Source organism: Homo sapiens, chromosome 2 (assembly GCF_000001405.40).
Source record: "Homo sapiens chromosome 2, GRCh38.p14 Primary Assembly".
Lineage (NCBI taxonomy): Eukaryota > Metazoa > Chordata > Mammalia > Primates > Hominidae > Homo > Homo sapiens.
The window spans coordinates 170,489,518-170,514,037 of NC_000002.12; the positions used below are offsets into that span (position 1 = coordinate 170,489,518).

Here is a 24,520-nt window from a genome sequence, read left to right on the forward strand (position 1 = left end):
CAGAACTTATCTCTACCTTTAGCAATATTGTAAGTTTATCACCAAGGTTGGCTCTGTCTCCACAGTTTACCTACATGAGAGCAATCAGGGTTCTCCAGAGAAACAAAACCAGTAGGGGTGTGTGTGTGTGTGTGTGTGTGTGTGTGTGTGTCTGGGTAAGTGTGGGTAAGTGTGGGTAAGTGTGTGTGGTGTGTAGACTCAGTACAGTCTAGAGACAGAATCCCTTTCTTCCTCGTCACGGGACTTCAATCTTTTAAGGCCTTCAACTAATTTTATGAGGTCCACCCACATTATAGAGGGTAATCTGCTTTACTTAAATAATAACAATATTATTTCTTCTGACCTATAAACATGATATCTCTCTCCATTTATTTAGGTCTTCTTTAACTTTTTTTAGCCAATGTTTTGTAGTTTTCAATGTACAGGTTTTATACATTGTCAGATTTATCCCTATTTATTTTACATTAAAATGCTATTACAAATTATATTTTTTCATTTTCAGTTTCTTTTCTTTCTTTTTTTTTTTTTTGAGATGGAGTCTTGCACTGTTGCCCAGGCTGGAGTGCAGTGGCGTGATCTTGGCTCACTGCAACCTCCGCCTCCCGGGTTCAAGCCATTCTCCTGCCTCAGCCTCCCGAGTAGCTGGGACTACAAGCATCTGCTACCACGCCCGGCTAATTTTTTGTACTTTTAGTAGAGATGGGGTTTCACCATGTTAGCCAGGATGGTCTCGATTTCCTGACCTCGTGATCCGCCCTCCTCGGCCTCCCAAAGTGCTGGGATTACAGGCGTGAGCCACCGCACCCGGCCTCATTTTCAGTTTCTAATTGTTTGTTGCTAATATATAGAAGTACAATGATTTTTGTATATTGATCTTTATCCTAAAGCCTTGCTAAATTCACTTACTAGTTATGGTAGCTTTTTCGTAGATTACACTGGATTTTCTATTCAAATAATTGTGTCATCTTCAAATTAAGACAATTCTACTTACGCCCTTCAAACATGGATGTTATTTTTTTTTTTGTCTTATTGTGCTGGATAGGACGTCTGGTACAATGTTGAATAGGAGTGATGAGAGTGGACATCTTGATTTGTTCCTAATCTTAGGAGGATAGCATTCAGCTTTTCACCATTAAATATGGTGTTAGCTTTAAGTTTTTCATAGATATTTTTTAAAAGTCAAGATTCAGAAAGTTGTCTCCTAGTTTGAGGTTGTTGAATTAATTTTTTAAATTTTTAATAAGAATTAGATGTTGGATTTTGTCAAATGCTTTTTTTTCATTTATTAGGATCATATGCTTTTCTCTTTAGCTTATTGGTATGGCATAAAGTCATTCACAATATTTCCCTGATTATTCTTTAAATATTTGTAGAAACTATAGGATATCACCAATCTCATACCTAATATTGGTAATTTGTTTCTTCTTTTCCTTTCTTTTTTTCTGATCTGTATGGATAGAGGCTTACCAATTTTATTAACTTTATCAGAAAACCAGCTTTTGGTTTCATCAGTTGCTTTCCTATTTTCTATTTCATTGACTTCTACTTTGATCTTTATTATTTCCTTTATTCTGCTTACTCTGGGTTTAATTTGCTCTTCTTTTTCTATTTCTTATGGTGGAGGTGAGGTCATGTATTTGAGACCATTCTTTCCTGATAAGTTTTTAACACTATACATTTCTAAATACTGCTTTAGCAATCAAATCTTGATACATTGTATTTTCATTTTTATTTAATTTAAAGTACTTTCCAATTTTCTTTTTGATTTTTTCTCTGGCCTCTGGTAAATTTAGAAGTCTCTTCATAAATATTTGGAAATTTTCCAGATATCTTTCTGTTGTTGATTTCTAATTTAATTCCACCGTGGCCATAGAACATACTTGTGTGACTTGAGTATTTTTTAATTAATTAATTAACTTTTTTTTTATTTTAAGACGGAGTCTCTGTCGACAGGCTGGAGTGCAGTGGCGCGATCTCTGCTCACTGCAAGCTCCGCCTCCCAGGTTCACGCCATTCTCCTGCCTCAGCCTCCCGAGTAGCTGGGACTATAGGTGCCCGCCACCATGCCCGGCTAATTTTTTGTATTTTTAGTAGAGACGGGGTTTCACCCCCTTAGCCAGGACGGTCTCAATCTCCTGACCTCGTGATCTGCCCGCCTTGGCCTCCCAAAGTGCTGGGATTACAGGCATGAGCCACTGTGCCTGGCCATGTATTTTTTAATTTATGAAGTCATGTTTTGTGAAACAGAGTAGGGTATATCATGGTAAATGTGTCATGTACACATGTCAGCACTTTGGAAGGCCGGGGTGGCAGATCACTTGAAGTCAGGAGTTCAAGACCAGCCTGGTCAATGTGGCAAAACCCTGTCTCTACTAAAAATACAAAAATTAACCAGGTGTGGTGGCGCATGCCTGCAATCCCAGCTACTCAGGAAGCTGAGGCAGGAGAATCACTTGAACCTGGGAGGCAGAGGCTGCAGTGAGCTGGATCTCACCATTGTACTTCAGCCTGGGTGACAGAGATGAGACTCCGTCTCAAAAAAAAAAAAAAAAGATTTGTGATTTGTTAGGTAGAACCAGAGCTGTGTTAATGACTAATATTTCCTCACTATGAAGTGAGATCCTTCTAAGTACTCTATTGTCCTATGAATTATGAAGTCAACTGGTCGGGCTGGCATAAGCAGCTGGTATTGCCAGCCCTTTGTAAGCACTGGGCACTGTTCCTTCTAATCCTCTCAGATGGTTCTTTCCAGTCTTGGATAGTTTCCTCGTATGAATATGCCAGTTAGTACTCTGCTGAATGCTTGAGGATATCCTCCACAGATCTCCAGGGTTCTCTTTATCTTTAGCTCTCTCCTAGTTTTCTGTCCTATAAATTCTAGCTGCCTAGGTGGTAGCTCTCGACATGTGGTAGTAGAGTCTGAAGCCTGATCAGTTAAGTTCAGTTCCGTTTTGCCCACGTTGTGTTGAAAGAGGTCAGATACTAGTTCTTTACATGAACGAAAGTAACCTAAGAAATAATCTGACAACTGATCAGGAACACACAAAGATTCCAAAATTTCTAAACACTTCTTTTCCTCCATAATTAAGTTGTCTTTCAGAAATACAGAGCTCATGTTGAGTAAAGTCCAGGGCCACATTCCCTCTTTACTCCTTCTCCATGGTGCCCTCAGTCTCTCCTACCTGTCTTCTCTTTAAGGTCCTGCTTCCTCTGGGGGAAAGCCTGGAAGTTATGGAGACCTGATAGACTTTGTTTCTGGCTGTATCCTGGAAAAGCAATGTTTGGTCGTTACAGTTTCTCAGACTTATGTCCTTCGCAATCTTCTGAGTAGAACCAGAGCAAAGACCACAAACCTTGTTTTTGCTGACATGGGCCAGGTCTCATAGGACAACTGTGGTGCATTTAACAAAGTCTCTGTTTCTCTACTCTGTCTTACCAAAGATTTTTCTTCATTTGCACTAAAGAACATAAGAAAGGAGAATGAAGGGAAGTGAAAGCTCCCTTCCGCCCTCAAAGGTAATACTGTTCAAGTTAAATCAGTTAAATCGGCCAAGAAATTAACCACCGTTGTTTTGATGAGGGATGTGCCTACATTCCAAACAATAGCATTTTGTTGGGACCTCTCTATAAAGAGCATAATAACGTGTAACATGGAAAACCTATTATATCTAAACAAGCAAAAGCTAAAGAACTAAAAGAGATCAATTCTTCCCAAATCTCCAATTTTTTTTCAGGTAGGAAAATTTTATTTTTGTGTAGGCAAGTTTATCAGTCTTTTCCTTTCTGGCAAGAAGTAGCATTTAACTTTACTCTTTCTTGTTTTTTTTCCCCTTGCATCAAAAATTAAACTTCATTAGCTGGAGTCTTGTCAGTTGTTTAAAAATATTAATGACCTGGACATCAGTGACCTTGGATAATAATTTTAGCCTCTGTCATTTAATCTGTCATCTTGGATAAGTCATCTTATATCATTAAGAGTGGTTTTTGTTATCATTACTAGATAGAAGACTTGATGAGCTTGAGAGATCTTTTGTGGTGGCTTTAACATACGTCTACAAATTATTTGATATTCCTCCCTTCATTCCTCTCCTATTGAATGTGATCTGGACTTAGTGACTCACTTCTAAGGAATCGAAGAATATAGAAGAAATGAGCGTATGTCATTTCTAAGCCTAGGTCATAAAACACATTGCAAATTCTTCTCTTTCTCTCCCTCTCTGCCCCCAACCCCAACCCCAACCCCAAGACGCTTTGTTCTGAGGGAAGCCATCTTCTATATAATGAAGGGACTCAGGCAGTCCCCTGGAGAGGCCCACGTGGCAAGGAGCTGAGGCCTCCTGCCAACAGCCAGTGAGGAATAGAATCTTGCCACCAACAGCCATGTGAGTGAGTCATCTTGGAAATGGATCCTCCAGTGCCAGTCAGGCTTTAAGATGACTGCAGCCATGGCTGACATCTTGACTGTAATCTCATGAGAGACCCTGGGCCAGAAATAAGCTGCTCCTGAATTCCTGACCCTCAGAAACTGTGTAATGATAAATATCTGTTTTTAAGGCATTAAATTTTGAAGTAATTTGTTATACAGCAATATAAAACAAACATATCCTGGAATCTTACAGATCCTTCCAGTTTATGATTCCATAATTTAAATGCAGGAGGATGTATCTCTAGTTGCCTGTTGCTTTTGCTAACAAACTGCTTTGCCTGTTACATTTAAAAACTCTTCCTTGAAACAGCCTGCATTCCATGCAACAAAACATTTTAGACAGAAAATGAAATGACATTTTTTGAATAGAGATATTTTTCAACTGGATATACACTATTGTGATAGCTTATATGTTTTAATAAAATGAAGCCTTGGGAAATTTATGTCTTCATAAAATTCTGCAGTGTTCTTTGGTCCTCGAGGGCCATCAGAAGTTATGTGGGGCCAGATGCGTTGGCTCATGCCTGTAATCTCAGCACTTTGGGAGGCTGAGGCGGGCAGATCACTTGAGGTCAGGAATTCAAGATATGCCTGGCCAATGTGGTGAAACCCCGTCTCCACTAAAAATACAAAGGTTAGCCAGGTATGGTGGTACATGCCTGTAATCCCAGCTACTCAGGAGGCTGAGGCACGAGAATTACTTGAACCTGGGAGGCAGAGGTTGCAGAGACCCCAGATCACACCGCTGTACTCCAGCCTGGGCAACAGAGTTAAACTGCGTCTCAAAAAAAAAAAAAAAAAAAAAGAAGAAGAAAAAAAAGAAAAAAGAAAAAGAAGTTACGTGGATTTCTTGACATTGTATGCAATGTGTTGTGTTAAGAGCATTTTCCAAGATAGAATTTGTATAGCTTTTACCAGACTTTCACAGAGCCTTGAGCCCCATGTCCTTCTCCCTACCCAAGATAATAGTTAAGAACCACTTATCTGGTTCCTATTCCCACCTGTGGAAAGTTAGGTACAGAGAGGTGAGTGACTCACCCACAGTTAGAGACAGAGATCTTCTGACTCTGAACTCAGTGCTCAGACTCCAATATATAAAATCAATTCTACTTAGAAGAGGCAGCTCAGGGAAGTCTGGTTTTTGCAATGCCCTAAAGTGTGCAGATTCTCAAGACAGACTTTTACATTTATTATTTTGCTGTTGCATATCTTTTGCTTAACTCATCATGCTGCTTCAGGAAAGGGGTAAAATGGATCTTTCCAGAAAACTCTCCCTTCCTGATGGACCTCTTGGCTTGGTTCCTTTCAGCTTAGCCTTTACATTGAAGTACACAGGAGCTCAAAGTGATTTATCACCATGGTGCCTGCTAGAATCCAAAATTATTCCGTGAAGGAAACATATTATGCTTTTCTTACTTGATTACTATAGATATGTCACTTACATGTTTCTTCACTATATTTTGAAAACTGCCTGTTTACATATAGTACTGTTACCCATGTCTTTCTGAACTAAGCTAGATATGAATATTATTATCATAATAAATTAAGATGTTTTGGTTGATGGACTGAAAATCAAAGTTAAGTTCTAATATTAATGATCAGAATACATTCTGCCTATTTAGAAACTAACAGTTGCTAAAAAAAAAAACACCCACAGATGTCCGAAAAATAAGTATAAATCTTTGATTGGTGAACTGGAACATATCTTACACTCCTCTTATATCTTTCAAGGTGCTGGTCATTCATCAGATTCTTTAAATACTTCATCACCAGTAACACTGAGCATTCACCATAAGCAAGCCTGGGCTACTTAAAGCCGGTGGAACCCATGTTGTAAATGGCTGGTCCTAAAAGTATAGGAAATCCTGATTTTACCATTGACTTTTCTCACCGCAATAGATTTGCCAGCCATTCCCACCATCCCTATGTGCTCCATGACACAATCTTTTTGCTGTGGCCAAAGCCAAGTCAGAGAAATCATAACCAAAACTACAGTCCTGGAGAACCTGGGGCTGAAGAATCTGTGCTGATGCCATGAACTGTCCAGAGAAAGGTCTAAGCTTGACTCCTGGCTTTCCCTCCTCCCACTTAGCTCCGGAAGATATCTGCTATGAGCAGGTTCCTGGGTTCTGCCAAATGATCTAGCATCATCTGGTCTTGGCTACTGTTCAGGTTCAGAGAGCACTGCCCCTCCTCCCCAAAGGTGGAAACAGAGATTCAGAGCCTTGGAAACAGCCCCAGGGTTTCTGAATGCAAATGTTTCCAGCAAATTCAGCATTATATCCTAACTTGCAAAATAATTCTGTAGCAGGAAGATAAAGTTGAATGAGTCAAGTACTAATTAGGTACACTTATTCTTCCATAAACAGGAAGATATGGATATATTTGGCAGGGGGGAGGGATATCTTTCACATTTTAAAAAGTAAAAACAGCTCTATATTTAAAAGTAATTTCAAAATATCAGATTAGTCTCGTTTGAGGAATGGCAGGAAAATCCTTTGACAAAGAAATTAAGTTTATTTCAAAGTTTTCAAGGGGTTGAACTAAATTATAGATGGCAGCAAAGAGCAGAGAAAAAAATGCCTTGCAAGTTTTCTAAAGAAAAACTAAGGTGAGATTTTCTAAAAGGATAATATATTCAAAAAGTTATATATAATATATATGTATAATATAATATATATAATACATATTTTTATATATATGTATATTTTTTAATTTTGAGACAAGATCTCCTTGTGTCACCCAGGCTAGAGTGCAGTGGTGTGATCATGGCTCACTGCAGCCCCAAACTCTGGGCTCAAGCCTCCCAGGTAGCTGGGACTACAGGCACATGTCACCATGCCTGGCTAATTTTTTAAATTTTTTGCAGCGACTGGATTTGGCCATGTTGTCCAGGCTGGTCTCGAACTCTTGGGCTTAAGTGATCCTCCCACTTTGGCCTCTCAAAGTACTGGGATTATAGGAATGAGCCACTATGCCTGGTGCCTCAACAAGTTATATTTTTAAAAACAGGGAGAATAAAGGAGAAGAAAGGAAAGGGGAGGAAAAAACCCTTTTGGTAACGATGGAGTTCAGGACACACCACCCCCAAATATGGCACTGTAGCATTTGAGAAAATAGCAGAGGTAGGAAGGTCACTCTCACGTTCTCCTGCCCTTCTGCCCTGAAGCAGGTCATAAGACCCACACGTGAAAGGTACTCTTCCTATACCCAGAGAAAAGGAACATTTGTATCTCTGAAGACACAGGGACACAGAGAAGAATCTGAACAAACAGGTCTTGCTAAATTTCCTCAGTTAATTACCATTAGGGTAATAAACTATTTTTTCGATTCTGTTTCTCCACAATTATCCACTTCTTCATCAAAGTTGGCATAGAAATACACAAGTCTAGGCCAGGGGCGGTGGCTCACGCCTGTAATCCCAGCACTTTGGGAGGTCAAGGCGGGTGGATCACGAGGTCAGGAGATCGAGACCTTCCTGGCTAACATGGTGAAACTCTGTCTGTACTAAAAATACAAAAAATTAGCCGGGCACAGTGGCGGGCGCCTGTAGTCCCAGCTACTCAGGACGCTGAGAGGCAGGAGAATGGCGCAAACCCGGGAGGCAGAGCTTGCAGTGAGCTGAGATCGCGCCACTGCACTCCAGCCTGGGCAACAGAGCGAGACTCAGTCTCAAAAAAAAAAGAAATACACAAGTCTAATTGTTTCTTCAGGTTTTCATTTCCTCATGAAGGCTCCTGTGTCACTTAAAACTTACGTTAAATGAATTGGTACGCATTTCTCTTGTTTATCTGTCTCTTGTTCTAGGGGCCTCAGCTGTGAACTTGGATGGGTGAGGAAAAGATATTTTTCCTGGCTGGGCAAGGTGGCTCACGCTTGTAATCCCAGCTACTCGGGAGGCTGAGGCAGGAGAATCGCTTGAACCCATGAGGCAGAGGTTGCAGTGAGCCGAGATGGCGCCACTGGACTCTAGCCTGGGCAACAAGAGTGAAATTCTGCCTCAGAAAAAAAAAAAAAAAAAAAAAAAAGATGCTTTTCCTTCACTACAGTGTTCTTCTCTGAAACTCTTTAATCTGAAAGTTTAGAAGTTCACTAAAATGAAGTAATTTAAGAAAACAAATGTGGTTTTCGTGATTATATCAAGAAAATACACCTCCTCTATACGCTGAGTAAGATGAATAGCTCAGCAGAATCAGTAGTGTTAGGCTGTGATCACTTCTGCTATCTACAAATTGCTTTAGACGGGACTTTGCAAAGCAGAGTCAAAATATATACAATGGAATTTATTTTTTATAGTAGTAATACTAATATTTAGGAGTATTACTTTCACTAGGAGAGTTGTCTAAATTTCAGCTTTCTAAAAAGATTATTTTGATTTTGAATGCACTAGACACCAAGTATGCACTGAATATGAATTACAAAGCAACATTAAAAGGGAAGTAAATACACATTGCAGAACATATGAAAGTAGGGAAGAGCCAAGTTCATAAGTATAAATTTTGTATCTTTTACTACCTACTATGCTATTATTGGTGCTCGACAAATATTTACTATTAAAAAACAAGGTGTGTCAATGGTCCCGAGTAATTCTACTATGCTGAGTCAAATGGTGACTGAAAAGGCTTCACTTAATTCTTTTATTTTGCAGGTATTATTACTTGGCATTCACAGCACATCAAACACCTCTTGCTAGCAAAGAGAGCTGTGTGGCTATCTTGGAAAAGTCCAGATTAGATCACTGGGTACTGGGAAAAACAAAGGTAGTTCGTTCTTTATTGTTCAAATTGTCCCGTATGATTTCTTTGTCTCTTGTCAGTGATGTCACTGGCATGAATGGCTCTGTAAGTTGTGTAGCTTAGCAAACAAGACTCCAACGTAACAATGGTCTTTGCTGGTATTAAGTCAAGAGGTTGGGGACGTTAGGGAGTAGAGGAGGAGGGTTTGCCTCCTGTTCTGTATGTAATTTGAGAGCTATTTAGCATTTTTAGAATGAGATCTTTGAGCTCATTTAAAAACGTTTCTTTTCTCAATGCTGCTTATTCCAGTACCACATGTAAATACACAAATCATATTAACGGCAGTGATGAGTTTCTAGTAGAGTTTTGTCCATTTTTTCACTGGACTCATGTTATTTGCTGCATAGCCTGATTATTAGTCTCAGCATCTGTAGCTTTTCATTTGGGAGAACGTCACGTCCCCATAGGATCCCAGGTTTTTATGGTCCATCCTGATTGCCTTATAAAACCAGCCTCTGCCTGAGTGACGATGGCAACACTGCTCCTCCTCAGCAGAAATTAGATCACTGTGGATCATCTAGGTACCTCACCCTCTGAACTTCCACTGTTGGCTGGGTCAGTCCTCTTGGTTAGCACCTTTATCAGAGGCTATGGGGAAAGAGAGTAGATAGAGCTCAAACTGAGAAAATGAACTCCTGACTGACATGAGACAGGCCTGGAGAGCATTTGGAATCGCTTAAACCCTGTTGACCTCATCATCTATTTACATCAATTATCAAGGATTGGCTCAATCTTAGAAGGAGAATTGTATTTACCTCCATGAAGTCAGTAATGTGAGCATAAGTCACATCGCTATAAACTTTATTTATATCATTGTTTTAATATTTTCATTTAGAATATGCTGTAGTAGAGTGAATTTCTGTTGAGGAACCCATATGTAATGCTAAAACTACTGTCTCGTTTCAGGTTTTTCTCAAATATTACCATGTTGAGCAATTAAATTTGCTGCTTCGAGAAGTCATAGGCAGAGTGGTTGTGCTGCAGGCATATACCAAGGGGTGGCTTGGAGCCAGGAGATACAAAAGGGTCAGAGAGAAGAGAGAGAAGGGAGCCATTGCCATCCAGTCAGGTAAATGGTCCTGTTCTCATAAATACTGCCCTGGGTATTGGCATGTCATTAAGTACTGGGGAATACTCAACTGTTTCTCTTCTAAGTGGTTTCCCTCCCTCCCTTCCTTCTCCCCTCCCTCCCTCCCTTCCTTCCTTCCTTCTTTCCTTCCTTCCTTCCTTCTTTCCTTCCTTCCTTTAGCAAATGTGTATCAAATGTGTATCAAGTGCCTACTACACAGGTTCTGTGCCAGGTGCTGAAATCACAGCCATGAGCAAGACTGTGTAGGGGTGAAAGAAACTTTCTTTCCGTGTCCTGAAGATTTGATAATTTGAGTCTATAAAACAAACTGAGAAAGACAGGTTAACAGGAGAAAAGACATACAAATTTATTAACATGCAAGTCATAAAAAGTGTGAAACTCAAAGGCCAGATGGTTGAAGCTTAAATACCCTCTTCATAGGGGAGAGGGAAGTGGAGGATGTAGATAGTTTTAAGGGAAGATTCAAAGGTTTACGAGGGAAATGAATGGGCCTAAGGAACAGGCAATAGCCTGGGACAAAGTTCATCTGACCTCTGGGTGATATTTACTCCAGTCTTTCTTCCTGGGGTATGCATCAGTTTCTCCTGGTTGAGGAGATATCTGGGGAAGGGATTCACACAGTTGAATATCTTCTGGAGGAGTTTGCCTTTAATAGATAGGGAGAGTTCAGAGAAAGCCCTTCCCTGCATTTGCTGCTACCCAGGTGCTCTAAGTTTGAAGTCAAAGCAGCATATTTTGGAGAATTATTATCTGAGCCCCAACAACTGCCATGGTCCCTGACTTGCAGGTAAGCAAACAAGTCTTTACAACATGAGTGACAGGATAGATAGTGGCGGTATAAATGGACCAGTGATGTAAAGCCCCAGTCACACAGATATGTGCCGCATCTCCCAGAATGACTGAGATAATATACACTTCAGGTCTGTGGTCAGGTGTTCAGTACCAGAGTTACTAACGCCATTTCCAGAAGGCTTTTCTAGTCCAGATGGAACTTATAAACCAAGGGAAGAGGTTGCTAATCTCTTTCATGTGCCCTGCCTAGTCAGTGCCTCTTTGTTTACGTATATGTGTTATTAGTGTTACACACAACATTTAAGTTCCTGTGCAATAGACAAATGATTATGAAAGCACCAGATCTTGAACAAAGTGGATGATTTCCCTTATGCTCTCATAACCCAGAATCCTCATGTGGCTCAGTCTATTTTGGACTTCATGAGCTCACCCAGCAACTTCGAGAGTTGTGATGCTGAGACGGGAGGAACAAAGACATTATGCTCCTCGTGGGTGGCTTAATGCCCCAGTTTTGTATCTAAAGGGCTTACCACCTTTGCCCCAGAGAGTCCCTTCCTCTTTTCTCTCTTTTTCTTCACCTTTCTTCCCTGCCTTTTCCCTTCCCACTGCACATCTTTCCTCTCCCTCAGCATACCTCTCGGCACAGAATTCACTCACAGCAAATGACAGTGTTGTGCTACTTATCATTTCCCTTAACTCCGCTCTTTCTCTTCTTCAACTTTCCTGTTTATATTTTTCTCCCAAATAACAGATTTTGAAAGGGTCAGGCTATTCCAGTTCCTTTCTACCATCCCTGCCAAACCCTTCCACCTGTATCATATCCCCGAGTCTTGAAGACAGGGCTTTCTCCAGGGATTAGAATGACAGGAAACCATCTCACCTGGAGTAGGGGTCCCATGTGATTCATCAGTGGAACCCAGAGTGTTCTGGAAATCACTGCCTGAACAAAAGCAACCCCTCAGAAGCATCTTTAAAGCCAAGCTGTGAGAACAGAGAGGCCTCTCTTCTCGCCATAGATCACATACCTCTGCTTATTTTGTTCAGTGAGAAAGCAGGAGGGAGGATGAGACGGGCAATAGGCTGGAGGGGAAAACAGCTTATATCAATTCTCTGGCACGTTCTTAAATTAATGTCATTCCTAGCACATGGTTTTATATTTTTAGCCTGGAGAGGATATGATGCTCGGAGGAAATTTAAGAAAATAAGCAACAGAAGGAATGAGTCTGCTGCTCATAATCAAGCAGGTAATTAAAACATCATTTTCACAGTGTCCACTTGAAAATATTCTGTGACTAACTTCTGTGAATGTAGAAAAGCTGAAAGGTTAATAATTCAGGAGCACTGGAATGAGTCAAGAGTTCTGGGAGACAGGAGTCCTAGTGTTCTGACCCTCCTTGTGTGATAACTATGATGCTAACGGTGAGCATGAGCATTTGCTGTTTGCCACACTTGGCTAAGGATGCTCTGACTGGGTTCTCTTGTATACCTGATATTATAGAGGAGGAAACTGAGGCACTGAGAAGTGAAGGGACTTGTCCACCATCACACAGTTCATCAGTTGCAGAGCCAGCATTTGAACACAGGCCGTTTGGATAGAGTCAGCATCGCATACTGCCACCTGAACAAAACCCTTTCCCTCTCGGAGTCATATGTCCCTCGTCTGTTAAATGAGAGCGCTGGTTAAAAAGGTCCAGAAGGTGCCTTCCCATTTTGGAATTCTCTAATTATATGCAAGACCTGTTTCTTAGCATCACAGAGGAGGAATCACTCAGGGAGTTTCCCAGCAAACTGTTTCCCAAATCCAGGCTTATATGTGGCTATCATGGTCCTCTGGGCCCCATGGCATGAGCACATGGTGGCTTTTATGGCTCGGCTTGCTATTGGCAGCCTGAGAGGTGTAAGCTCTGGTTTCTGACTCATCCGTCCCCTCTCTGGCTCTTCAGTCACTCTGCTCTTCTGCAAATGGCAGTGTCCACTGTGGGTGCGGGTGCCAGGCTGGGCTCCTTCCCTCATTTGAAGCTGCATATTCCTACTCGAGGCTCTGGAAGAAACAGGCCCCTGAGCTCCAGGAGCCACAAGAAATTAGAGACAGAATGAGAGAAATAGCCAGGCTGGTAGACTCAGCAGCAGAGAGAGTGATAGGATTTCACATACAGCTGAGCTTGAAGGAAACTCTTAAATAAAACAGCTGCAACCTCTTGAAAGAAGTCCCTCCTCGGAACCTGGCTCCAAGTAAACTTCTCAGAACTCTTAGACCACTGTAGAAGCCTGATGTCTTCATTCAAAACGAAAATAGTTGGGCGGAAAGAGTGCTATTAAAATGCAAATGTTAACTTTTAACACCATCTCCTAGGAATTCTAAGCTCTACAACTTCAAAGCCCCAGGAAGAGGGATGCAATTCTTGTTACAGCTTAAGAGAGAACTCAAAGTGCATCATTTGTTCCCTACTTGCCTGCCTCCCAACACGCACACAATCTCTCATTAAAACAGGGTACCAAACTGATTTCTGATCTTGCAGTTTGGTACAAAGGCCAACATGTGTTTTAAAATTTAAACTTGCTTGAGCTTATTTATTGTTGATCCACTGAGTTCAGTATACAGGAATCATAAATCCAATTTTCCCTAAGTGAAAGTCATCTTTTGAGTGCTCCCTGTCTTGCACTCTGTTAATGCCAAGTGAATACTGCTGTAAAACAGAAATGGGTCTGCTTCATCATCATGGATCAGGATAGTAATAATTGTATCTTTTCAGTGGAGCACCTATGGGGTAGCTACCATGGAAGGATAATGTTGCTCAGCGAAACTTTAAAAAGCATGTTTCTTTAAGGGTGTCTCCCTTTTTTTTTTTTTTTTTTAGCCTTGCAAGCACCCAGCAGGACTTTAGAAAACACATTAAGGTGCCTTCCTTTTTTTTAGCCTTGCAAGCACCCAGCAGGACTTTAGAAAACACATTAAGGTGCCTTCCTTTTTTTTAGCCTTGCAAGCACCCAGCAGGACTTTAGAAAACACATTTCTTTAAGGGTGCCGTCCTTTTTTTTTTTTAGCCTTGCAAGCACCTCCCCTTTCTTAGCCTTGCAGCCAAAGTGTTCTTGCCTATCAAGTGATGTTGGGAACTTCCATTAACTGAGTCTGCAGGGGCTTAGATGGGCATGAAGGTGGCACCAACACCACCTCTGCCCTCTTAGAAGTAGTGTGGCAGCCAGAGCAAAGGCAGACAGCATCTGCCCTTTAGCCAACACCGTGGACAGGAATTGGTGCGCTGGTTTTGTGTTGGTGGTAAAGATGCATGAATAGGGTAGCAATCTTTGCAATTTTATGGGCAGTTTACTTTTACTTGGGAATATTTTCCTTATCTTTAGATTTGAAGGCATAATTGCGTTTATCTAAGAAGCAAAGCAACTCATTCCGACGTTTCTGTTTGGGGTTGTGATCTTCCCCAAACATAATCTCATTACAAGCCTCTCTTCGTCCCACTAGGACATTTCCTAGTAGAACCAGACCCAGATACAGTGGCTCCCCGCTTTAGGAGCCTGCAGGAAGTGGCTTAGGGATGTTGTCACAGCACAACCATTTCCGGTTGTTTTCTAAGGTTATTCTCTAATTTATTATTTTTTCAACAAATCATTTCATTTGAAATTTAGATTCTGTGGAATGCATTTGTATTTCTAGTTCTGGCCCATAGTATTTTCTTAAGTGGTGTTGCTAAGATATGTTATATATTTTTAAAAGAGCGGCCCTTGAAATTTAGGAAGCATTTGGCCTACATGTTGCTACAGGGCAGCACATATTGAAATTTGTTTTCCTTTCATCTCCTTCCCAATAAAAGCAGCCGTGCGGCTTATCCCTTTAGCTTCCTCAGAACTTCCTTTCAGAATTCCCGATCTATTACGGCACATTCACATACCAGAAACAAGATGCCTTTTCATGCTGTCAACCTTTTTCATCTGAAATGTAAATTAATTCTTGCTGGTATGCCTTGACAGAGATCAAAGTCAGGGTATTAACCTTCCCAGGCTTTCTCCTCATAAGGACTGGGCGGCCACCATTAGGAACTCTGTGTCCTTGTTATCGGGCCCTCCTCCAGGCAGCCCTCGGTCTAGGAGCCACCATTTCAAAGCCTCAGAGTCCTTGGTAAATGTCCTCATCATTACTTTCAACTGGGTGAGAAATAATCTGCCTGGCTAATTATTGCTCGTTTTTAATTGTGGGCCCTTCATTCAGATTCCAGGAGCAGGTTTCAGTGATTCTGACAGCCAGTGGTCTTGGTGTGATCGAGGGAGGGACAGGGCTCCAGATTGGAAACCTCTCCCCCAACTCAGTGGGTCATTTCTTGCCTGTCAGTCTTTGAGGTAGGCCACATTTGCATTTTCAAAATAAACAGATGCCTTTCAAATACATGAGCTGGTGGTCTAGAGATCTCTGCGGGCCCAAACAGTTCACCAGCCAGTAATCAAATGCTGGAAGAGAAAACAAACGGAAAAAAAATACCCTGGGTACACAAGGATACATTTCCTATGTGTATAACACTGCACAGTCAATAAAGGGCCTTTATGAGATGTAGGGGGGAGAGGGGAGAGGGGAGAGGAAGAGAAAGTAAAGGAGCCTGAGCAAAGGTATTGTCTATCAGTTTCTTTTCTGCGGGGCTGAGGGAGGTGGGAAGCAACTCTGCATATCACCTTGGCAAGAAGTGGCATGTTTCATTGTTTTTTGTACTGGTTAATTCTGACAATGGGTTCTTGCCACAGGAAAACACATTCCTTTAAATGCCAAATAATTAAAATACATACTTTGTTAAAATCCGAAAAAAATTGTACATATTAGTGTTCAAATAGATGGTGTATTCTAAGTAAAAACTAACAGTGACCTTGATTCCATTACTAATCTGTTATATTTTTAAATTACCTTATGTTTCAGAAATTGGACCTAACTACATTTATTCAACCAAAAAAAGCTTACATTCCTCAGTGAAAATTATCAAAACAAACTAACTGCAGGGAACTTTATTAAAGACCTACATGTAATATCTCATTCATTAATTTTTCTAAAGCTCTGGCTTTAAAACTGCCCCTCTAATTCAGGATATGTGTTTTAGATGAGAGCAAAGTTGTGGGCCTCCCTCTCTCAAAGGAGAAATGCCCTTTGAATAGGTGACAGTGGAGCCCTAGGGGCTGGAACCTTCTCCCAGGAGGAGTGGTCTTCCAGCACCTCACTGCTTCTCCCCACACACACGCACAGGAGTCGGAAGAGACGCTAGTTTACAGGACATTTTCATCTAATTGCTTCAGTGCTGTGGAAATTGTTATTTTCTCTTTCTCTCTGTTGTTGGATCAGCTTCCTACATACTCCCCTCCTTGGCCCTGCCAAAAACACAGATGTTATCACAAGATAACAATAGCTCTAACAGTGACGGCCATTTCTCTTCTGATGCTCTTTGGGGAGAGTGCTTTTCCCAGCATCAGCAGAGACTCTGACGAGGCTGGCAGGGTGCCTTCCTTGAGCCTGTGAACAGGCATTTTAAGCCACTGCAGCTGGGAACCACTGGGCACATCATGTGATGCATGCAGAGCAGAGTTGCTTTAAATGCTGCTACCAGAAGAGAAAGCAAACATCGTATCCAGACAGCCTGACCCTACTTTGTAACAGAACCAAGTTTTTGGTGTATAAAACTGCCTGAACTTTTAAACTCTTTCAGTGCAAGGTTTTCTCCTAGCCTTTTCAAAAGGCTGTTTAAAAGGCTGTTTCCTTTAGCATCATCAGTGGGTTGGCAATGATTAGGTGGTTGTAATTTCCTAGAACTAAATTTCCCGCTATTTGCCTACGTGTGCAGGACAACTATATTTAAACTGGGATATTTCTTTCATTCACTTACTTAACTACTATTTGTTAAGCACCTACTTTATGCTGGGGCTCCCACGGTAAACAATGAGATTTAATTTGGGGCTTCAAATTATCCAACTCCAATACAGAGCACTCTAAAATATGCTTTCCCTCAAAGGGATGCTGTTTGAATAAATCAAGTACTCTGTATTTTGCCAACGCTCTTTGGAATGGAGCTCTGTAAAATCTAAAACAATACAAAGAGTACAAATTATTATAAAACACAGCCAAGTGTATGCATTGAAATGACCCATGCTTCTTGAAGGTAAAAATGACTGTAGTAGATATTTTTCATCCTGCTAAAGCTGTACATAAGTAGATTGTTGATCCCAAGCCAAACAAGAGGGGGACTGTAAGTAAATGCACCATTGAAAGAAAAGGTCCATTTTGAACAAACAGAAGGAAAACAAGCATGCCCTCTGTCACTCTTTTCTGTGTCTCTATTTGTAGTTCTACCTCTATTTCACTTTTTCTTCACTCATTTCATTTCTATTTCTTAGATCCCTGGTCATTTCACACAAAAGCTAAATTCTTCAAACTCACTGTCTTTATCAGAGGAAGCACAGGTGTGAGAGAAGACAAGATCCAAACTCTTCTTGGCCGTAGGGCAGGAGGCAGCTGCTTCTCTTTTCCTGGTGTTTTCCGTATCCACATATCCACAGAATAGCAATAAAACATCTGGGGGAAATAATTTACCTGGTGCACCTGAGCTTGAGATGCACTGTGAACTGCAAACTAGCCCTCCCCATCCGCCTACCCCCCCATCTTCTAAACCTTTGTTTAACACAAGACAGGATGCCCTTCAGTCCTAGGCGAGGGGTCCTGCTCACTTCACTCTCATGCTATCTTGGTTTCCCTAGCTCTCCCATACTTGAGAAAGTGGGGCTTTCTTTCTTTCTTTTTCTTTTTCTTTTTTTTGAGATGGAGTCTCACTCTGTCACCCAGGCTGGGGTGCAATGGTGCGTTCTTGGCTCACTGCAATCTCCCCTTCCTGAGTTCAAGGGATTCTCCTGCCTCAGCCTCCCAAGTAGCTAGGATTACAGACATGCACCACCACACCCAGCTCTTTTATTAGTAGAGATGGGGTTTCACCACATTGGTCAGGCTGGTCTCAAACTCCTGACCTCAAGTGATCCGCACGCCTCAGCCTCCCAAAGTGCTGGGATTACAGGCGTGAGCTACTGTGCCTGGCCTGGGGCTGATTTCTGACAGCTGCAGGCTTAACATATCTTGTAGGGGGAAATGTCTAGGGGGAAAGCATTGTGGTTTACTTGAGGAAAACATACCTTGTCTGTGACAAGGCTTAGAGCAAGTGGTGTAGTACAGAGACAGGATGGCCTGTGGTTTCGAGGTTTCTGACAAGAAATGAGCTCTGCCAAATCTCTCTTTGGCACAAACGATAGAATTTTTGTCATGGCATAGCTTGGAATGCACAGGAATCTCCTTTGCTATGGAATAAAATTATTGCCCATGCTAGGATTAAATAAGCCAGAGGGCAGAATACTGTTTACCTAATGCACAGAGAGGAAGCTGCAAAGTCATTGTGGGCTGGAGGTCCACTTGTGCCCAATATCATACCGGCATGGCACAAGTATGCTTAAGATGAAACTTTTGTGCAACAGTAGGTACCCCTAGGACTCGATATTATAACTTCAGAGGACGCCAGGGTTAGAGCCTACAATCTGGAATCAGTTTTCTCCATTATGAACCTTGTTTAGCATTCCAGAGTCTAGCTGCAAAGAAGTGGTGCCTGAAAAGGTATCTTTGCCACCTCAACACAGAATGAAACAACATTATTATGATCGATTACACACTTGAGTTGCCTTTACTCTATGTCTTTAAAACAATTTCATGTAGAATCATAAAATATGTTATCACATTTTATAACTTTTATTAGTTGTTTAGACTGTAACTACACAATAGTAAAGAAACGTTTAGGGGAAAGCTAACTGGGCTGTGGCAAGAATGATCATGCTATTTTTCTTCAAAAGACTCTTGGAAATAGAAAGGCAGGCTTTGTTTTACCTCTTAACAGAGGAACCAGGAGCACAGAGAGTTAAATAAGTTGTGTCTCCCTTATGTGTTCTGCAAGTTTAAACACTGGTTTCAGAGCCCTCTTCAGAGCCTTCACTCAGTGCTCTTTTCAGTAGACCATGCCCTGCCATTGGTTTCCATCTTGAATATGACACATTGGAAATAAGGTACCAGTCAAAGCTTTGGAAAGAGTTGAAATACTGTCCTAGGCATGTGGAGTTTAGAGTCAAACAATGAATGTTAAATGATGGCTATGCTGCCATTTGCCATGTAGTTTGGGGAAAAGTACTTAACTTCTGAGCCTTAGTTTCCTCAGCTGTAAAATGGGACTCATTAAGGCCTAATCCTCAGGACTGCTATGAAAATGATAGCAGGTAATATATGCAAAGCATCCTGCACAGTACCTGGCTCATGGTACGTATTCACTAAATGAAATGTTACTTCCCTCTCTGTACTCCCTTCCTAAATGTCAACTTCACTGGGGGGGAAAAAAGTCTGTGAAATACTCTTCTATGGAGGACATAATAATGCTGTAACTTCAGGCCGGGCACAGTGGCTCAAGCATATAATCCCCGCACTTTGGGAGGCCGAGGCGGGTGGATCACTTGAGGTCAGGAGTTTGAGACCAGCCTGGCCAACATGGCAAAATCCTGTCTCTACTAAAAACACAAAAATTAGCTGGACATGGTGGCGCATGCCTGTAATCCCAGGTACTTGGGAGGCTGAGCAGGGAGGATTGCATGAACCCAGGAGGCATAGGTTGCAGTGAGCCAAGATCGCACCACTGCACTCCAATCTGGGTGACACGGTGAGACCCTGTCTCAAAAAAACAAAAACAAAATGCTATAACTTCAAAAAGATGAAACAATTTCTTTCATTTCTGGAGAAAAATAGTACCTGTCAAATCTCAAATTAGATTACAGTAAAATCTTTGTAAAAAGAATTTTCCAAGTCTTAACTTACGTCTTGTTTATTTGACAGGGAAAAAATAGAATACAACAATAACATGTAAGAGATTTCAAGTGGTTTTGTTTTTGTTTTTTGTGAAGAGCTGTGCTCCATTCATGCTGAAACCTTGATTCATTTGTGTATATAAAATTTTCAGGAAGCTCAAAATTGTTAAGACTTAGGTGTGCTCCTGACATCATTTGTCCCCCTCACTAGTTTGAGGCCCTTTTGCAACTTGTTCTGAAAGATAGCAAGTTCCATTGTCACCCTGCTTCTGTAAAGCCAGAAATTCTAAAATCTAGGAGCTAAATATCACCAGATTTGTTGCCTTCTGGTGTGGAAAGCAAGTTGCCTTTCAGATGTCTGAAGAGTTGGAAGATCTTGGTGTACCTATCATGTTTAACCCACAGTGACGGGTGATGGGCAGCCTAACAGCTGAACGACAGCCGTTTGGCCGGGAGTTCAAACCTCAACACGATGAGCCATAGCAGGATCACGGTTTGATTTGCTGTGGCCATGAAGTCTGAATCACCAAATACAGAAGCAGAGGCAAGGGTGACAGCTGGTAGCCATTCTCGTCAATAAAGTTGTGACAGTTGAGATGTACAAGTAACTAGAGCCTGCTAATTTCATAGACTTTGAGCCAAGTGCTTAGTGTCAAAACCAGCTATGGTCAGTGATGCAAATGGTTGTGAAAAGTCCCTCATCAGCAGCAAGACTCTCCCCATCAGACTCTTTCCTCTGATGGATTAGAAGCAAATTGGATCCTGCTTTCTAGGAATAGATCCAGTTTGAAGAAAAGGAGGCCTTATTTTTTAAAATTCTAGTAAATTCTTAAAAGTCTATTAAGTATAATTTACATACAGTAAAATTCAGTTTGAGAACACTAGATCCCCTCCATAATCAAGAAAAAGAACAAGGAGACACAGGTCCTTCCTCCAAGGAGCTTGCATTCTAATACAGAAAGTAAGAATAAAAAGAGATTAAAGATATGAAAGCACCTGAAACTTTTAAGGGGGGTGTGTCAGTTTGACTAGTGATATCCCAAAATTCATGTCCATTCAGAACCTCAGAATGTGACTTTAGTTGGAAACAGGATTTTTGCAGATGTAGTTAATTAAAAATGAGGTCATACTGGATGAAGGTGGGTCCTGAAGCCAATGACTGGTGTCCTTATAAACATGCCATGTGAAGGCACAAAGAAGAACTCCAAAAAGTTCCCTTATGCCCTTCTTGACATCCACCCCCCTCACCCTCAGCCCCTGATAACCACTAATGGGTTTTCTGTCCTATAGTCTTACCTCTTCCAGAGTCTTGTCCTTATAGTCTTGACACTGTAAATGGAGTCATACAGCGTGAAACTTTTGAGTCTGGCTTTTTTCACTTAGCATAATGCTTCTGAGATTCATCTGCGTGTTGCGTTTTTTAGTAGTTCATTTATTTTCATTGCTGAGCAGAATTTCAGTGTATAGATGTACCACAATTTTATTCATTTACCAGCTGAAGGACAATTGGATTGTTTCCAGTTCTTGGTGATTATGAATAAAGCTGCTATAAACATTTAGAGCATTTTCCTTTTGTTTTTTTTTTTTTTTTGAGACGGAGTCTCACTCTGTCGCCTAGGCTGGAGTGCAGTGGTGCGATCTCAGCTCACTGCAAACTCCGCCTCCCAGGTTCATGCCATTCTCCTGCCTCAGACTCCCAAGTAGCTGGGACTACAGGCGCCCGCCACCACGCCCAGCTAATTTTTTTTTTTTTGTATTTTTAGTAGAGACGGGGTTTCACCGTGTTAGCTAGGATGGTCTCGATCTCCTGACCTCGTGATCCGCCTGCCTCGGCTTCCCAAAGTGCTAGGATTACAGGCGTGAGCCACCGCGCCCAGCCTTAGAGCATTTTCCTTTTGAGTAAAATGTATAGTAAAGTAAATAACTTTGCTTCACAGGAAACCAGAACTGTAGGAGCAGGAATGATCCTAGAGGTGGAAGTTGTTTTCTTTTTGATTAGCTGACAGGTATAGTTATTTTATACTTTTGCATAGCAATTTATAGTCTATTCAAAGCACTTTCACACACCTTACTTCCTGTAATTATCATTATAGTAACCCTGAGAAGTAGGCTAGGAATCTTGCTTCATTTTACAGATAGAAGCTAGGAAATCTCATATAATCCAGACTTCCTAATCCTTATTTGCTGTCGTTCCTTCTAAACATTTTCTCAACATCCTGTCTGTGCAGAACAGTCTGCTAGATTCTTTTGGGGTACCCACAAAATATTTTTTCCCATCAAGACGGAGCAGTCTTACATGGAATCAAACTGACCACTCTGGCCCAGGCTTGAAAGGAATACAAAACTGGGCCACTTAACACAGCCACAAGAAGCAGTCTATGAAGCTACCAGAAGCAGGCAGGACATAAATTTTAAGAAAGAAATCCTGAAGCTGGTGGGAGTCAGAAAATAATGGATTGACGGTCCCTAGATGATCAGAAGGAAGGGGAATTCCCCAGACAATGCTGTTTCAGGACAAGCAAGAAACTGATTTCTAGGATAATGGAAAACTTCCCTCCTTGGCTTCCAGGTTGGGGAAAACACTTACCAGGGAAGATTTTCTTTGAACTCAAAGTTTAACTGGGATAATGACTGGAATTAAGTACTGGATAATCAAAGTGGAAAATGCTTTCAGAGGCCTGAAATTACTAGACTTGTTTTGTGTGGTAGAGATAGAGGCCAGGATTTCTTATAGGGCTGTAGAAAAAAAAAATGTGTCAATGAGATTCTATTCCTTAAGAATCCAACTTTCTTGGTGCTGCTTTTGGTGGCATTTGCCTGTCAGACCTCCCACAAGTTGGCCTCTTTATCCTTTATATTCTGATAAGATGGCTGATGACCAGCTGTCAGTCCAAGCCAGAAACCACACTGGCTCCTTGTAAAATCTGCCAGCAGCAGTTAGGAGGGGAAGCCTGGGCTTTTGTGCCTCATCCGTATGAGCCTTCTCTGCCAGATACAGTGGGTGCCCTTTGCCAGGCCCATTATGAGGGCAGGAACGTTTACCCAGCCTAGATCACCAACCAGGAAACCTACCAGGACAGTGTCTCTGCTGAAACAATGCCTGATCTGTCCTTTGGGTGGGTCACTAAATGCCAGGCCAGGCCAGAGCCTCTTTCTGCAGCAGCTAATCTATGGGACCATTAGAGGCCCAAGCACATGAAAGAATGTAACAAAGGTCTGATTTTTTTACTTTCATTTATAAAGGGGGAAAAAAAAGGAGAATAGGGATTATTATTTTGAAATGTTTAAATAAATGACCTGCATCATGTAATATTTAGGAGTTCAGACTTTAGGAAAAAATTTTGTGCTTGGGTTCAAATCCTGGCTCTGCCAGTCTACAGCTGTGTGACTTTGGGCAAGTCATTTAACCTCCCCTTGTCTCAATTTCCTCAGCTGTAAAATGGGAATAAAGTAGTCGCTCTCTTTTAGGGTTACTATGAGCATTAAATGAGTTAATGTTTGCAAAGGGCTGAGAACAATGCATGGAACATAATAATCCATATGTATGATAATGTTTGTTAAATAAAAATAATGGAGCTTTTCTTCCCACCCAATTTTTCCCCGCACACCCCAGCCAAATCAAGCTGAAAGTACCTACCGTTCAGCTTGATCTTGTCCTTCTCTTTCTTCTAATTTCAGTACTTAACATCTGTCATGCCACTCCCCAACCCCAAAATTAGATTCCTAGGGCTGCCATAACAAATTACCACAAACTGTGTAGCTGAAAACAACAGAAACTTATTCTGTCACAGTTCTAGAGGCTAGAAGTCCATCAAGGTGTCAGCAACATTGGTTTCTACTGGAGGTTCTGAGGGAGAGTCTGTTCCAAGTCTCTCTCCAGTCTCCTGTTGGTTCCTGGCAATCCTTGGCCTTCCTTGGTTTGTAGACCCATCACTTCACTCTCAGTTTCCATTGCCATATGCGTTCTCACTGAGTCTCTCTGTGTCTTCACGTGGCCTGTTTATGAGGACACCAGTCATTGGCTTTAGGACCCACCTTCATCCAGTATGACCTCATTTTTAACTAACTACATCTGCAAAAACCCTGTTTCCAACTAAAGTCACATTCTGAGGTTCTGAATGGACATGAATTTTGGGATATCACTAGTCAAACTGACACACCCCCTTAAAAGTTTCAGGTGCTTTCATATCTTTAATCTCTTCTTATTCTTACTTTCTGTATTCGAATGTGAGCTCCTTGGAGGAAGGGCCTGTGTCTCTTTAATTTACTTTGAGGCAGCTAGAAATGTTTATTTGGCCACTTGAAAGGATTGGAGAGACAAGGGTGACACCAAGTTGGGTGTGGAAAGGTGATGCCTGAGATGGAGGAGTCAACCAGAAGGAGGGAGAAAGACAGGATTTTAAAAAATCACATCTGAACAAATAATAAAGGAGAAAGGTCAGGGATACCAAATATTCTAATGTGGTATATTTGGAAGCACTGCTGCCGGAAATAGAAATTGCCAAAGCCAGAAGGAAGGTGCAAGAAGTGAGAACAAGGTGTAGGTAAGAG

General features: G+C 41.4%; 1 protein-coding gene across 11 annotated transcripts in view; it reads left to right on the forward strand.

Annotated features, from left to right (window-relative positions):
- MYO3B (myosin IIIB) overlaps positions 1-24,520 on the forward strand; it is a 477,021-nt gene that overhangs the window by 311,371 nt on the left and 141,130 nt on the right. For 8 of the 11 annotated variants that reach the window (NR_045682.2, NR_045683.2, NM_138995.5 and 5 more), the window contains 3 exons: positions 9,075-9,186; positions 10,129-10,291; positions 12,268-12,348. Coding sequence is in view for 8 of the 11 variants with exons in the window: in NM_138995.5 (NP_620482.3) it covers positions 9,075-9,186; positions 10,129-10,291; positions 12,268-12,348 (356 nt within the window). In the remaining 3 variants the exon portion in view is untranslated. The remainder of the gene's footprint in view (positions 1-9,074; positions 9,187-10,128; positions 10,292-12,267; positions 12,349-24,520) is intronic. The other 3 variants (NR_045684.2, NM_001083615.4, XM_011510655.4) reach the window with 1 other exon arrangement.